Raw genomic sequence first — 16,269 nt, forward strand, 5'->3', positions numbered from 1 at the left:
TTTATTGAATTTCCTTGCCTTATGAGAATATTAGAAAAGTTGGAAAAATACCAGAGTTTAGGACATATCAGGGTATATGCATGAAAAAGCAATATCCTGAAACACCTGTTACACCTGGCCCCTGAACAAGGTGTATCATTGCCAATGAATTCTGCAATTAGCTGGATGTGTTTAATAAAAGCAGACACAAAATTTTATATCCAAAAATGATCAAGCGAGGTCAACGGTAAAAATGTTAGAAAGTTGCAGCCTTTTTATTTGGTACCCAGAGAATGCCAGTAATTTAACATATCTTGAGAACTGTTGCTCACAGAGTTTTAACAAGAACAAAAATAAATATAACTTCTATGTCTTCTTTGGCATGTTGTAAATTCAAAATGATAGCCATTTCTTTAGCAGCATTGTGAGAGAAAGAAACATTGTAAAATGAACTACTGGATTTGGTCTTACATGATAAAAAACTTAGTATAATAAATGAAAATTTTAATGTCAAAAAACCAATGGTTTAAAGAAAACATTAATAAAATAAATGGTAACATAAAATTCATAATATAGTCAGAACAATAAAATAGTTTTTGAACACTGGGGATTGTTTAACTGCAGCTTTGAAGTTTTTAAGTACACGTAAATCAAATTCACACACAACTTTTATTTAATGCCATTTCAGTCTTCAGAAATGCAATGAAATGTCAGTATATACATATATATTTAATATCAGAAATAAGTTTAGGAATTCAAAAGTGCTTGGGATGTGTTGGCAAACCAATTTTTTAAAAAATGTGGCTATAGCAAACTGTGGTTGCTTCATAAAGCCTATGTAACTCCCAACTACCAACAGTACTTCCTGTTTTTTTTTTTTTTTATCAAACAGAAAAACCACCTTCTCCTTTTTTTTGTACTATGGAATTTAATGCAAGATAAATTCTAACTTACAAACCATGCTGGAATTTGGATATTTAAGGTTTAATGTGTAACTTTTTAAATGGCTGTTTCTTTTCTTTTTTTTTTTTTTTTTTTTTTTTTTTTTTTGTGAGACGGAGTTTCGCTCTTGTTGCCCAGGCTGGAGTGAAATTGGCACAATCTCGGCTCACCGCAACCTCTGCCTCCCAGGTTCAAGTGATTCTCCTGTCTCAGCCTCCTGAGTAGCTGGGATTACAGGCATGCGCCACCACACCTGGCTAACTTTGTATTTTTAGTAGAGACGGGTTTCTCCATGTTGGTCAGGCTGGTCTCGAATTCCTGACCTCAGGTGATCCACCGCCTCGGCCTCCCAAAGTGCTGGGATTACAGGCATGAGCCACTGTGCCCGGCCGGCTGTTTCTTGATAGACTGCTTTCCTGCTGTTAAAAATAATTTTATCATACTAAAAAACAAAACACTACATATTTGTTATAAGCAGCAATTTCAGAGAGAATGAATTTGGAAAGAGAAAGAAAATGTGACCTGAGCAATATTAGTTCATAGGAAAGATAAAAGTAACCTAATCAGTCACATTTTGACAATTTTTTAATAAACGAATGCAGTTAGTACATTCTCTATAATTGTCCACGTAAAATTAAATGCTTAATACCTTTTGAAGAATAAATTATTAGTTCCCATAACTAGACAGTTGGAATTACAGCAAAACAGTCATCCACAGAAGCTCTATTGTCCAGCGTTTAGAAATGTGAATACAAAGCAAACCCTAACTTGGCAATTACATATATATATTTATTTATAAGCATTTAGCTAAAATTTATTTAGTGAATAATTGAAACATACATAATTTGCCAATATAATGTAAGCTTGGATTTCCATATTCTAAAACTTTTGTTTTTCTAAATATTTCAAAGAAACTTATGTCTATAATTTAATATATTCAAGTATAGTTCCCTTTTCTCTTATGTATTAGCAACCAAACTGAATTTTAGGTGATCAAGCATAACATTTTATTGAAAGTATATGATGGAATTCACTACACTGTAAGACTAAAACCAGGAACAGTGCATCCATGAGTATAATGTATGTTGTGAATAATCACTATCAATGCCACTATATTCCCACATAAAAAGGCAAATAGCCCACTATTGATTTATTCTGCTAATTTCAACAATCATTGATCTTGAGGTACATGCCAAAAATGCCTGAATAAGCTTTGAAATGTAAAACAAAAATGTTTTAAAGAAGTTTAATTGCAGTTGGCCAATATATACTTAATATGGCTTGCATTTTTTTTTTTTTTTTTTTGAAATAACATTGTGACTTAAAGGATTTCTAGGTCCTAAAATCTGGAAAAGGGATCTGGAAAAATTTGGACTCCATGAGTAGTTTGGATTCAATCTCTCTGTGCTTTTTTTTTTCTTTATAACAGGAATGGGATGGGGGGTGGGGGGAATAAAACTTCTTATGCTATATAGGTCATGTACTGTGAGAAACAAGAATACAAAACTATGGGTTTAAAAACAACATATACAGAAATAATCGCCAATCTCTGTCTACCTCCACATCATTTTGTCATAGAAGTTCATTGTGATTAAAAAGTTTAAAAGTTTTTAAGAGAAAAGGTAGATTGAGAAGTAGAAAGGAAGTAGGAAGGAAATTGTGCAAAAAAAGAAACAGTTTATTAGATACTCTGACCCTGGGACACACTGTTCCTTTCCCCCAAAATATTTTCCGTGATAGGAACTGAATTTAAAATTATCACCTTGTTAGATTGCCTGAAGATCCAGCAACTAAAAACTTGATTAATGCACAACTTCCTTAAAAAATGCCAATTAACTATTAGCCACTGACAGAAAAATGTAAATTAATTTAATAAGATAGCTTTCCTTTCACCTTTTTAGCTGGAAATGTCTGTTCTGATAGAATGGATATCCTGATTTGGGGAAGAGGAAGAGGAAGGAACAAGGAGTAAGGATCACACAGAATCCTTCTGGGGATAGGGTAAATTTCGTTGATGGAGTATTGCTGTGAGGTGCTCAAATAAGATAGATAGCATGAAGGGGCTGGAAAGCCAGGAGAAAGAGAATGTACAGAATACCACAAATATGCTTTGCCCACTTTAAAGCCTAAGTTTTCTTGTGGGCCTTAGGGCCAAGATAAATGGTTGTTTTCCTTCTTCATATATGAAAGACCTCTATCTAGAAAATACTAGTCAATCTGTATGGAAGTTTCTCTGGGCAGTACTATTTTAACATGTTGTTCCAATGGGCAGACATTATAAATACCAAGCATCTGTTCTTAAGGTTGTGGGTTGCCTAAACATATGGAATCCCTTTGAGCCAAACAGAGGTGCTATCAAAATTGTTTTATTATATTGAATTACCAATGACAATAAATTACAAAAAACACTGTTTTAGACATTGCTGAGTCTAACAAAATAGGCTGAAGTTTGATCTTTGTGAAAGGACTTGAAACCATTGTTTTTTCCCACAAAAATCCCCATCACCAGCACTGCATTCGAATTTTCTTGAAAATTGTTTCCTGAGTTTATTCATGGTAGTATGTGCTTAAGGACAACAGGTTGTTAGTCTATTTGAGCAAACCTGATGTTTTCTCTAAGAAAAACAAATTCAATATCCTCCCCCTTCAAGAACAATAAAACCCCAAACTGTGCTATCATTAAATACTACCAAAAACCATTAACTAGAAAAACACAATGCAAAATCATTATTCAAGAACCCATTAGAAACCACAGTATTCTAAAGTCTTATAGAAAAGATGTGTTTTTACTAGTTAAGCATTGATAGAAGTCCCATCAAAAAAATGTTCAATCCAAATCTGCATTTTTGGCTATGGAGTTCTAGCCAAACTGGACAGGATTAGGCATCCTTACCTGGGCTCCTTCTACAAAATGACAGTATGTTTTGAAGCTCTCCCATATAATAAGGTTGCCCCCTACTACTGTGGTTAAGCTAGCATATTTGAGTTTTTCACTAGAAAACTCTCAAACAATTATCGGGTACATCCAGTAGCATACCTGTATCTTTTATACACTGTCAGTCCTCACTGGGTGATCAGAAATCATGCTGTTCATTGCTTAATTCTTATAGTGTTCCTTTTATGATAGGACTGTATGGCATGACCTTTCTGAGCAAGCTAATTTAAAATTAATTAAGACTGTCTACTTTTTAAAGCCATTGATTATAGAAAACCTGAAAGTTATTTTGTAATCATTTTTCATTTTCTGATTTCACTTCCCCTAATTTTATTACTTAAAATGCATCCATGGAAATAGTATCTCTGTCCTGAAAACTTCAACACCAAAATCACACCTCTGAGTTTGACTTATCGATTCTGATAGGAAGGCATAACAGCACTAGATAATGACAGAAGGAAAATAAGTCAGAATATATGCTTACAAACTGTTACATGCAAGTACATATAGTAATAAAGCAAATGAGAAAAAAAGCCAAAATGGAACATAAAAAGCCATAAGACATGATACCTAACTACTTCTAAGTAATTATTTTTCATGTGGCATAAATTGTTATTTAATCTCTTTCAATTATTTCCAAAAGATACCTCAAAATAAGAATACATACTTTAATATATCACACCCAGGAAACAGATATTTGTGCATGGGGTATAGATTATTTACATTACAAACAGAATATGTATAGTTTCTTTTATTAAATACCAAAGTTACGAGTTTCCTAGCCTAAATTGTATAATTCAGCACTCAGTAATCAACTTTCTCTCTGAATAAAGCAAAATAAAATACATAGCAAATAGTACACCTAACACGCACAAGTAGTTCACTTATATTCACTAAAGAAAACTGTGATATCCTCCAGTTTACATTCATGAATTCTTTCTGTCAGTAGTAGTAGTAGTAGTAGTAGTAGTAGTAGTAGTAGCAGTAGTAGCTGCTGCTGTTGTTGTAGCAACGGTATTTTCTTCAACAACGTGAAATGATTCTTTAGCATTTCATCATTTAGAGAAAAGAATACATACTACACAGTGGTTCTGAATTATACATTAAATAAGACCAATTTGGCCAGTTTTTTATAAATATGATTTTAAAATGTGCTCAAATTTTTTGTAGACCATTAATATTATTCATATTTAAAATGTTAGTTTATCTTCATGAAGTAAAATGATTAAGTAGCATTGTCTAAAGTTTACTGTAATACAATATACTATATCATGTGTGCTATATGCACAAGTCCACTACAGCAAGATGTCAACTGTATTATCATAGGATTCAAGGTAGAATGATATGCTACACTGTACTTCAAAGCACATCGAAGTCAGAAAAACAACAGTGTAGTTCATTTATAAAGGGGATAGATGATGATTACAATCCAATTGGTTAACTTGAAAGTCAGTTTATATAACACCAGGATAGTGTCAACACCACATACTTCATTTTCAAAGGCTTAACTATGACCTATTTATAAGATTACACCAACAGTATAAAGCCTTTGGAAAAAAAAAAAGTTTCACTTGTACTAAATTTCCATGATGTAAAATTTACAGAAGCCTTATAAAAACCTTTATTTCTAAATGAGGCCACTTATTATGGATAATATACAGATCTGCCTGCACACATTATCTGAGATATAATTCTTCTATAAAAACTTTGGCACCAACTATATCAAGAATTCATATATTAGCACAAATGTATTTTGCTCTGGCACCAAACCACTATGTTTACATTTTAGTAACTACAGTGAGTCAAATGAATGGAGTCCTTTGGTTTTACGGAATAACAAGCTTTTATAATAAGTTTTTGTTGTTTTTCTTTCATTAGAAAAAGCCTATCCTTCAGGATCTGATGTTTAAAAATACTAACATTGCTTGTCATTATACTATTATATATGTATACTGATTGTTGGTAATGACTCCCCAAACCATAATTGTATGAAACAAGAAAAAAAATATTAAAGTAACTTTATTTGAAAGGAATTTTAGAAGCTTGTGTGCAGAGAAGTTGTGAGGACCTGGTGGACACCAATTATATGCTTAAATAAACACTTGAACACTACTGCAAACACATAGTATGAATATTGTGGACCTGTGAATGGTTTTTTAAATCTCACTTCCCCTAAAAATGGGGATTTAATATTACTTAATATTCAAGTAATTTAGCAGACAACGATGCCTTTGATAAGAATAGGAAAAAAGCCACACATTTAATTTCATCTTCATCCAGTTTGGCCTAGGAACACCACAAATCTTACAGGCCAGTTGATGTTCGCTTTTTCATGCTCCGTCGCTGGGCTAAGCTTGAAGCAGCTACAGGCTCTAGGACTGGTTGAAAGGTCTTGTGAGTCAGGGCAGAGTATGTTGCAACCATTGCTCCCTAAAGTAATGAGAAAATGCCACAAACTAAGTACAAATTCTGGAGTTAAAAAAAAAAAAAACTTTCACATGATATCATGAGACATATATCTAGAACAAAATGTTTTCCTAGGAAAATAATTGAATATATTAGATCTGTGCACTGATGAATCAATATTACTTGTATGTTTTTCATTTCAATAACTATGCTTTTTACAAAAAATTGTTAAAACACTAACATTTAAAACCTTGATTCAATGTATATGGATATAGGAATGGTTTCACGAACAGTTATAAATTAAGAACTAACAGCAATCTTTTATTTCAATATGAAACTTGCATTTAGCCCAATCCTAATTCCAGCATCTCTCAAAAGCACGGCAGGTACAATCAAGAAATTTTTATTGTTTCATCTGAAAGGCAGTAGTAAAGTAAGCTAAGAAAAGTACATGGTTGTTAATTTAAAAAAATCTATCTTTAAAAAATAAAGATATTTTAAGGAATTATTTAAGTGTCATCAGCAAGTGGCACACAATGGGTTTATTAGGTATCTGATATCTCGAAGGCACATAAAAGTATGTTTGTTTTACCTTAACAACATGTGACACATCATTTCTCTTTGGCTGATCATTTGGCAACTGGTCTCTGTGAGTTATCCATGAGTGCTTTAATATTTGTTCAGCAGTATACCGCTGATGTGGGTCCATATGAAGCATATGGGAAAGCAAATCCTAAATTAAAAAAAATGTGTGTGTATATATATATACATGTATACATACATAATTTTACATTTGCTGAAAATGTGACAGCATCAATAGCCTTGCAATCTGTTTATTTCACCTACATTTATGCAAAGTAAAATCTATACTCTACACAGTTAACTCTCAAGAGAATCTTGAGAGATATTTTTCAATATATACTAAATCCTTATACACCACTTTTAAATCGGAAGATGCCAAATCTGTGGAATTGGATGTGTGATTAGTGACGGAGGAGGAAAATGTAAAATGGCAGAAGTTATCCTGGAATATGCTAAATGTTCAGCAGGAGACAGGAGCTATTGAACTTTGCTGTTAAGCTGGGCCCCAAGGTGTAAGGGTATGTGTACACAGATAAAACATAGAAGGGAGGGTCCCATGTAGTTAATCCATTCAATAAATGGTGGCTTACTATATAACATATTAAGAAAGCAAACCATAAATCCAATGTTAGCAAGTGGCTTCTATCATAGTAGTCCCCAGTGCATTTTAAGTTTTTCATCAAAGTAAGTGTACGTTTGCTTATGTTATCTCTGTTGCAATTAAAAAAGTTGTAAATTTAATATAACCTCACAGGAAAAGTTTTCAATATATTAAGAGATGTAATACTTTTAAATAAACTGTCTCTCCCAAGTATCTTTTAGAGAAATGAGAAGTAAACTCCTTAATAAGCATTTTCGGAGAATCTGGCAAGATGGCCGAATAACAGCTCCGGTCAGCAGCTCCCAGTGAGACCAAAGCAGAAGGTGGGTGATTTCTCCATTTACAACTGAGGTACCCAGTTCGTCTCACTGGGACTGGTTAGCCAGTGGGTCCAACTCACGGAGGGTGAGCAGAAGTAGGGTGGGGCATCGCCCAACATGAGAAGTGCAAGGAGCCAGGGGACCTCTCTCCCTCAGCCAAGCAAAGCTGTGAGGGACTGTGCTACCCAGCCCAGATACTACACTTTTCCCATGGTTTTTGCAATCCACAAATCAGGAGATTCCCTGGTGTGCCTACACCACCAGGGTCCTGGGTTTCAAGGATAAAACTGGGAGACAATTTGGGCAGACAGTGAGCTAGCTGCAGTTTTTTTTTTTTTTTTCGTAACCCAGTGGTGCCTGGAATCCCAGCGAGACAGAACCATTCACTCCTCTGGAAGTGAGGCCGAAGCCAGGGAGCCAAGTGGTCTTGCTCAGTGGGTCCCACTCCCACGGAGTCCAGCAAGCTAAGAACCACTGGCTTGAAATTCTCACTGCCAACACAGCAGTCTGAAGTCAAACTGCGACAACTGAACTTGGTGGCGGCGGGGGCGGGGGGGTGTCCACCATTACTGAGGCTTGAGTAGGCGGTCTTCCCCTGACAATGCTAAGGGGGCCGGGAGGTTTGGACTGGGCAGAATTTACCATGGCGCAGCAAAGCGGCTGTGACCAGACTGCCTCTCTAGATTCCTTCTCTCTGGGCAGGGCGTGTCTGAAAGGCAGCAGCCCCAGTCAGGGGCTTATAGATAAAACCCCATTTCCCTGGGACAGAGCACCTCGGGGAAGGGGCAACTGTGGGCGCAGCTTCAGCAGACTTAAACTTTCCTGCCCGCCAGCTCTGAAGAGAGCAGCTGATCCTGACAACGATTCTCCCAGCACAGTGCTCTAGCTCTGCTAAGGGACAGACTGCCTCCTAAAGTGGGTCCCTGACCCCTGTGCCTCTTGACTGGGAGAGACCTCCCAACAGGGGTCAACAGACACACCATACAGGAGAGCACCAGCTGGCATCAGGCTGGTGCCGCTCTGGGACGGAGCTTCCACAGGAAGGAGTAGGAAGCAATCTTTGCTGTTCTGCAGCCTCCACTGGTGATACCAAGGTGAACAGGGGCTGGAGTGGACCTCCAGAAAGCTGCAGCAGACTTGCAGAATAGGGGCCAGACTGTTAGAAGAAAAACTAACACACAGAAAGCAACAACTTCAACATCAACAAAAATAACTCCCACACAAAAACTCCATATAAAAGTCATTAGCCTCTAACATCGAAGGCAGATAAATCCACAAAAATGAGGAAAAACCAGCACAAAAACGCTGAAAATTCCAAAAAATAGAATGCCTATTTTCCCCCAAATGATCGCAACTCCTCTCCAGCAAGGGCATAAAACTGGACAGAGAATGATATTGACGAATTGACAGAAGTAGGCTTCAGAAGGTGGGTAATAACAAACTCCTCTGAGCTAAAGGAGCATGTTCTAACCCAATCCAAGGAAGGCAAGAAACTTGATAAAAGGTTAAAGGAACTGCTAACTAGAATAACCAGTTTAGAGAGGAACATAAATGACCTGATGGAGCTGAAAAACAGCAAGAGAACTTCGTGAAGCATACCCAAGTATGGATAGTTGAATTGATCAAGTAGAAGAAATGATATCAGAGATTGAAGATCAAATTAATGAAACAAAACATGAAGATTAGAGAAAAAATAATTAAAAGGAACGAACAAAGCCTCCAATAAAATGTGGGTCTATGTGAATCAAATCTACGATTGACTGATGTACCTGAAAGTGATGGGGAGAATGGAACCAAGTTGGAAAACACAATTCAAGATATCATCCAGGAGAACTTCCCCAACCTAGCAAGACATGCCAACATTCAAATTCAGGAAATACAGAGAACACCACTAAGATACTCCTTGAGAAGAGCAATCCCAGGACACATAATCATCAGATACTCCAAGTTTGAAACAAAGGAAAAAATGTTAAGGGCAGCCAGAGAGAAAGGTCGGGTTAACCTACAAAGGGAAGCTCATCAGACTAACAGTAGATCTCTCTGCAGAAACCCTACAAGCCTGAAGACAGTGAGGGTCAATATTCAACATTCTTAAAGAAAAGAATTTTCAACCCAGAATTTCATATACAGCCAAACTAAACTTCATAAGCAAAGGAGAAATAAAATCCTTTCCAGACAAGCAAATGCTGTGAGATTTTTGTCACCACCAGGTCTGCTTATAAGAGCTCCTGTAGGAAGCATTAAATATGGAAAGGAAAAACTGGTACCAGCCACTGCAAAAACATCAAAATATAAAGACCAATGACAATATGAGGAAACTACAACAACTAATGTATAAAATAACCAGCTAGCATCATGATGACACGATCAAATTCACACGTAACAATATTAATTTTCAATGTAAATGGGCTAAATGCTTTCCATAAACAGAACCAATGACAAAAACCACGATTATCTCAATAGACGCAGAAAAGGCCTTCAATAAAATTCAACACTACTTCATGCTAAAAACCGCCATAAACTAGGTATTGATGAAACATATCTCAAAATAGAGCTATTTATGACAAACCCATAGCCAATATCATACTGAATGGGCAAAAGCTGGAAGCATTCCCATTGAATACCAGCACAAGACAAGGATGCCCTCTCTCACCATTCCTATTCATCATAGTATTGGAAGTTCCAGCCAGGGCAATCAGGCAAGAAAAAGAAATAAAGGTATTCAAATAGGAAGAGAGGAAGTCAAATTGTCTCTGTTCACAGATGACATAATTGTATATTCAGAAAACCCTATCGTCTCAGCCTAAAAACTATTTATGCTGATAAGCAACTTCAGCAAAGTCTCAGGATACAAAACCAATGTGCAAAAATCACAAATATTCCTACACACCAATAATACACAAGCAGAGAGCCAAATCATAGTTAAATTCCCATTCACAATTGCTATAAAGAGAATAAAGGAATACAACTTAACAAGGGACATGAAGGACCTCTTCAAGGAGAGCCACAAACCACTGCTCAAAGAAATGAGAGGACACAAACAAATGGAAAAACATTCCATGCTCATGGATAGGAAGAGTCAATATCGTGAAAATGGCCATAGTGCCCAAAGTAATTTATAGATTCAATGTTATCCCCATCAAGCTACCACTGACTTTCTTTGCAGAATTAGAAAATGCTAATTTAAGTTTCATATGGAACCAAAAAAGAGCCCATATAGCCAAAACAATCATAAGCATAAAGAATAAATCTGGAGGCATCATGCTACCTGACTTCAAACTATACTACAAGGCTACAGTAACCGAAACAGCATGGTGCTGGTACCAAAACCAATATATAGACCGATGGAACAGAACAGAGGCCTCAGCAATAACACCAAACATCTACAACCATTTGATCTTCGACAAACCTGACACAAACAAGCAATGGGGAAAGGATCCCCTATTTAATAAATGGTGCTGGGAAAACTGGCTAGCTATATGTAGAAAGCTGAAACTGGACCCTTTCCTCACACCTTATATAAAAATTAACTCAAGGTGGATTAAAGACTTAAATATAAAACCTAAAACCATAAAAGCCCTACAAGAAAACCTGGATTATACCATTAAGGACACAGGAATGGGCAAAGACTTTATGACTAAAACACCAAAAGCACTTGCAACAGAAGCCAAATTGGACAAATGGGATCTAATTAAACTAAAGAGCTTCTGCACAGCAAAAGAAACTATCATTGGAGTGAACAGGCAACCTACAGAAGGGGAGAAAATTTTTGCAATCTATCCATCTGACAAAGGTCTAATATCCACAATCTACAAGAAACTTAAACAAATTTAGAAGAAAGAAACAACTCCATCAAAAAGTGGGCAAAGGATATGAACAGACACTTCTCAAAAGAAAACATTTATACGGCCAAAAACATATGAAAAAAAGCTCATCATCACTGCTCATTAGAGAAATGCAAATTGAAAACACAATGAGATAACATCTCATGCCAGTTAGAGTGGTGATCATTAAAAAGTCAGGAAACAACAGATGCTGGCGAGGATGTGGAGAAATAGGAATGCTTTTACACTGTTGGTGGGAGTGTAAATTAGTTCAACCATTGTGGAAGACAGTGTGGCAATTCCTCAAGGATCTAGAACCAGAAATACCATTTGACCCAGCAATCCCATTACTGGGTATATACCCAAATATTATAAATCATTCTTGTATAAAGACACATGCACATTTATGTTTATTGCAGCGCTATTTACAATAGCACAGACTTGGAACCAACCCAAATGCCCATCGATGACAGACTGGATGAAGAATAAATGGCACATATACAACATGGAATATTATGCAGCCATCATGTCCTTTGCAGGCACATGGATGAAGATGGAAACCATCATTGTCAGCAAACTAACGCAGGAACAGAAAACAAAACACCAGGTATTCTCACTCATAAGTGGGAGTTAAACAATGAGAACACATGGATACAGGGAGGGGAACATTAAAAACTGCGGCCTGTCGGGGGTTAGGGAGAAGGGGAGGGAGAGCATTAGGACAGATACCTAATGCTTGCGGGGCTTAAAAACTGAATGACGGGTTGCTAGGTGCAGCAAACCACCATGGCACATGTATACCTATATAACAAACCTGCACGTTCTGCACAAGTATTCCAGAACTTAAAGTAAAATTAACCAAAAAAAAACTGTTCTAATATAGAAACAAAATCATCGTATGCAAACGTTTCATCAATCACAGAAGCAGTGAAACTAAAGACTCTAAGTAGTACTATCAGATTCTGAAGAATAACGTAATTGGTTGAAACCATGTAAGGGACTAGGGCAACCAATCAAAAGCCATACTGGGGAAACATGTGCAAAAATAAATGGACAATTAATACTAAAAAGAAGATAACAATGATTTCAATGAAACAAACCTAAATGGTTATTGGAAAAATGAAAAAATTTCAATAGTCCAAGGATTTCTTCTTCTGGTCAAGATGAAATACCAAGGACTGGATGTACCTATCTGCCCGAAACAACCAATTAAAAAAAAACATAAAATATATAATATGTCAACAGTTTTCAGGATATCAGATGTTAGGCAATAAAGGAAAGTGATTCCTAATAGTGGGAAACAATCAGGTTAGCATTGTGATTGCTTCAGCTTACCAACCTGAGAGAGTTTTCTAGCTGCTGTGCAGGTAAGGGAAACTCAGGTGAAGCCTTGTGGGTTTGAACTGAGGAGATAGAACTGAGACTCAGGGGAGACCAAGGCAGACATAGTTAGCAGGACAGGGTATGAGAGGGGTGTGAGGAGCAGAGAGAGAGAATTACAAGGCTCTATAAAAGGTCTCACTAAATTATCTAGCAGATTACTACTGATAAAGACGTGGGGAAACAACCCAAGACCTTGGAAAGAACTATCTGAAAGCACTGGATGAAAATCAGGACTCACACAGGTGGGGTGTATTGCCTGTTTCCACCCGCCAAAATGGAAAACATCATAATTGATGAAGTATATTACAGAGTATTTAGAAGCACCTTGCCTAAATAGTGAGTAGCCCTAGACTAAACACTAGTCTGGTCCTGCCTAAAAAAATTTAAAAGGAGGACCCAAAAGTATGAAACTGTTTCCAGTAACTTAACTGCTGCCCAGAATAAAGTTCAAGCATACTTATAGGAAAATGAAGAGCAAACTAAACCTAAAATTAGAAGAAAATAAATAATAAACATCAGAGAAGAAATAAACAAAATAGAGAATAAAAAAAATGATAAATGAAAAAGAGTTGGTTTTATGAAAAGATAAACACAATTGACAAACCTTTAATGGGACTAAGATAAAAGAGAGATGATTGAAATAAATAAAATCCAATGGAAAAGAAGACATTACAACTGATACCACAGATATAGAAAGAACTATGAGACTATTACAAACAACTATATGCCAACAAATTGGAACACCTAGAAGAAATTGATACGTTCCTGGATATATAAAATCTACCAAAATTGAATGGACAAAATAGAAAATCTGAACAGACCAATAGAAAGTAACAGGATTAAATCAGTTACAAAAAGTCTCCCATCAATGAAAATCCCATCATCTGATGCCTTCACTGCTGAATTCTTAAGAGCAAATACCAATCCTTTTCAAACAATTCCAAAGGATTAAAGAGGATAGAATCCTGCCAAACTCATTGTATGAAGCCAGAATAACCCAACTGTTCTAACCAGACAAGAACACAACAACAAAAACTATAGGCCAATAGCCTTAAAGAACATAGATGCAAAAATCCCCAGCAAACTGAGTTCAACAGCACATTAAAAACATCATTTAACATAATCAAGTATAATTTATCTCAGGAATAAAAGGATGGTTCAACACATGCAAATTAACACATAATACATCACATCAACAGAATCAAGGACAGACGCCATATGATAAATTTAAAATGCAGAAAAAGCATTTGATAAAATTCAACATCCATTAATGATAAAAAACATTAAACAAATTAGGTATAGAAGAAACATACCTCAACTTAATAAAGGTCACGTATGACAAACCCACAACTAATATCATACTGAATAGGGGAAGGTTGAAAGCTTTTCCTGTATGATATGGAATAAGACAAATATGTCCACTTTTACCACTTTTATTCAGCATAGTTCTGGAAGTCCTAGCCAGAACAATTGGGCAAAAGAAATAAGGGGCATGCAAATTGGAAAGAAGGAAATAATACTGTTACTATTTGCAGATGACATTATCTTATTTATAGAAAACACTAAAGATGCCACCAAAAATTGTTAGAATAAACAAAGTGCAGTAAAGTTGCAGGATACAAAAGCAACATACACAAATCACTAGCATTTCTATATGACAAGAGTGAACAGTCTGAAAAAGAAATTGAGAAAGCAATTCCATTTAGGAGCTGCAAAAAAATAGAGAGGAATAAATTTAACCAAGGATGTGAATGATCTCTACAATGAAAACTATAAAACACTGATGGAAGAAACTGAAGAGGATACAAATAAATGGAAAAATATTCCATTTTCATGAATAGCAATAATTAATATTGTTGATATGTCTATACTACCCAATCTACAGATTCAATGCAATCTCTATCAAGGTATCAATGGCATTCTTCACAGACATAGAAAAAATTATAAAATTCGTATGGAAGCACGAAAGACTCCAAATAGCCAAAGTCATTTTGAGCAAAAAGAACAAAGCTGGAGGCATAACACTGACTTCAAAGTATTCTATAAAGCTATAGTAACCAAAACAGGATGGAGTCAGCATAAAAATAAACATATAGACCAATGGAACAGAACAGACAACACAGAAATGTATTGATGCTCTTACAACCAACTGATTTTCAATAAAGGCAGCAGGAACACACATTGGGTAAAGGATGGTCTCTTCAATAGATAGTGCCAATAAAACTGGACATCTATATGCAGAAGAATAAAACTAGACCAACATCTCTTACCATATATAAAAATCAACACAAAATGGATTGAATACTTAAATGTAAGACCTGAAACTATAAAACTACTAGAAGAAAACATGGGGGAAATGCTTCATGACGTTGGTTTGGATAAGAATTTTTGGGCAAGAATTCAAAAATACAGGCAAGAAAAGCAAAAATAGACAAATGGGATTACCTCAAACTAAAAAGTTACTGCCCAAGAAAGGAAATAATCAACAGAGGAAAGAAACAATCTACAGAATAGTAGAAAATATTTGCAAAGTACATATCTGAAAAGGGATTAATATCCAGAATATATAAAACATTCAAACAACATAATAGCAAAAAAATACATAATTTGATTAAAAAGTGGTCAAAAAATCTAAATAGACTTTTTTTTTTCAAAAGAATAAATACAAATATCCAATAGGTATATGGAAAAATGCTCAATATCACTAATTATCACAGAAATACAAATCAAAACCATAATGGGATATTATCTCACCCCAATTAGAATGGCTAGTACAAAAATGACAAATGCTGCCATGGATGTAAAGAAATGGGAAATGCGCTATACTATTGGTGGGAATGTAAACTAGTACAGCCACTATGGAAAACTGCATGGCATTTCCTCAAAAAATTAAAAACAGTACTAACATATGATCCAGCAGTCCCACTACTGGCTATTTACCCAAACAAAATGAGAACAGTATATTGAAAAGATATCTGCACTCCTATATTTACTGCAGCACGATTCACAATAGACAAGATATAAAAGCAACCTATGTGTTCACCAACAGATAGTGGATTATAAAATGCGGTAAATATAAACAATGGAATACTATTGGCCAAAAGAAATGCTGTCATTTGTGGCACCATAGATAAACCTGGAAGACATTATGTTAAAGAAAATAAGCCAGACACAGAAATACAAATACCACCTGATCCACTCATTTGTGGAATTTACAAAAGCTGATCTCATAGAGGTACAGAGTAGAACAGTGGTTACTAGGGAATGAGGAGGTTAGGGTTGAGGGAGGGATGGGGA

The 16,269-nt window shown here is 35.7% G+C and overlaps 1 protein-coding gene across 10 annotated transcripts in view; it reads right to left on the reverse strand.

Moving 5' to 3' along the window:
- The window catches only part of RPS6KA6 (ribosomal protein S6 kinase A6), a 130,154-nt gene continuing 114,114 nt past the window's right edge, over positions 230–16,269 (reverse strand). For 9 of the 10 annotated variants that reach the window (XM_047441997.1, XM_011530919.3, XM_017029425.2 and 6 more), the window contains 2 exons: positions 6,855–6,995; positions 230–6,286 (listed from right to left, as the gene is read on the reverse strand). In XM_047441997.1, the coding sequence (XP_047297953.1) occupies positions 6,161–6,286; positions 6,855–6,995 (267 nt within the window). In that variant the 3' untranslated portion in view covers positions 230–6,160. The remainder of the gene's footprint in view (positions 6,287–6,854; positions 6,996–16,269) is intronic. The other variant, NM_014496.5, reaches the window with a different exon arrangement.

The sequence above is a fragment of the Homo sapiens genome, chromosome X, assembly GCF_000001405.40.
Source record: "Homo sapiens chromosome X, GRCh38.p14 Primary Assembly".
NCBI classification, from domain to species: Eukaryota; Metazoa; Chordata; class Mammalia; order Primates; family Hominidae; genus Homo; species Homo sapiens.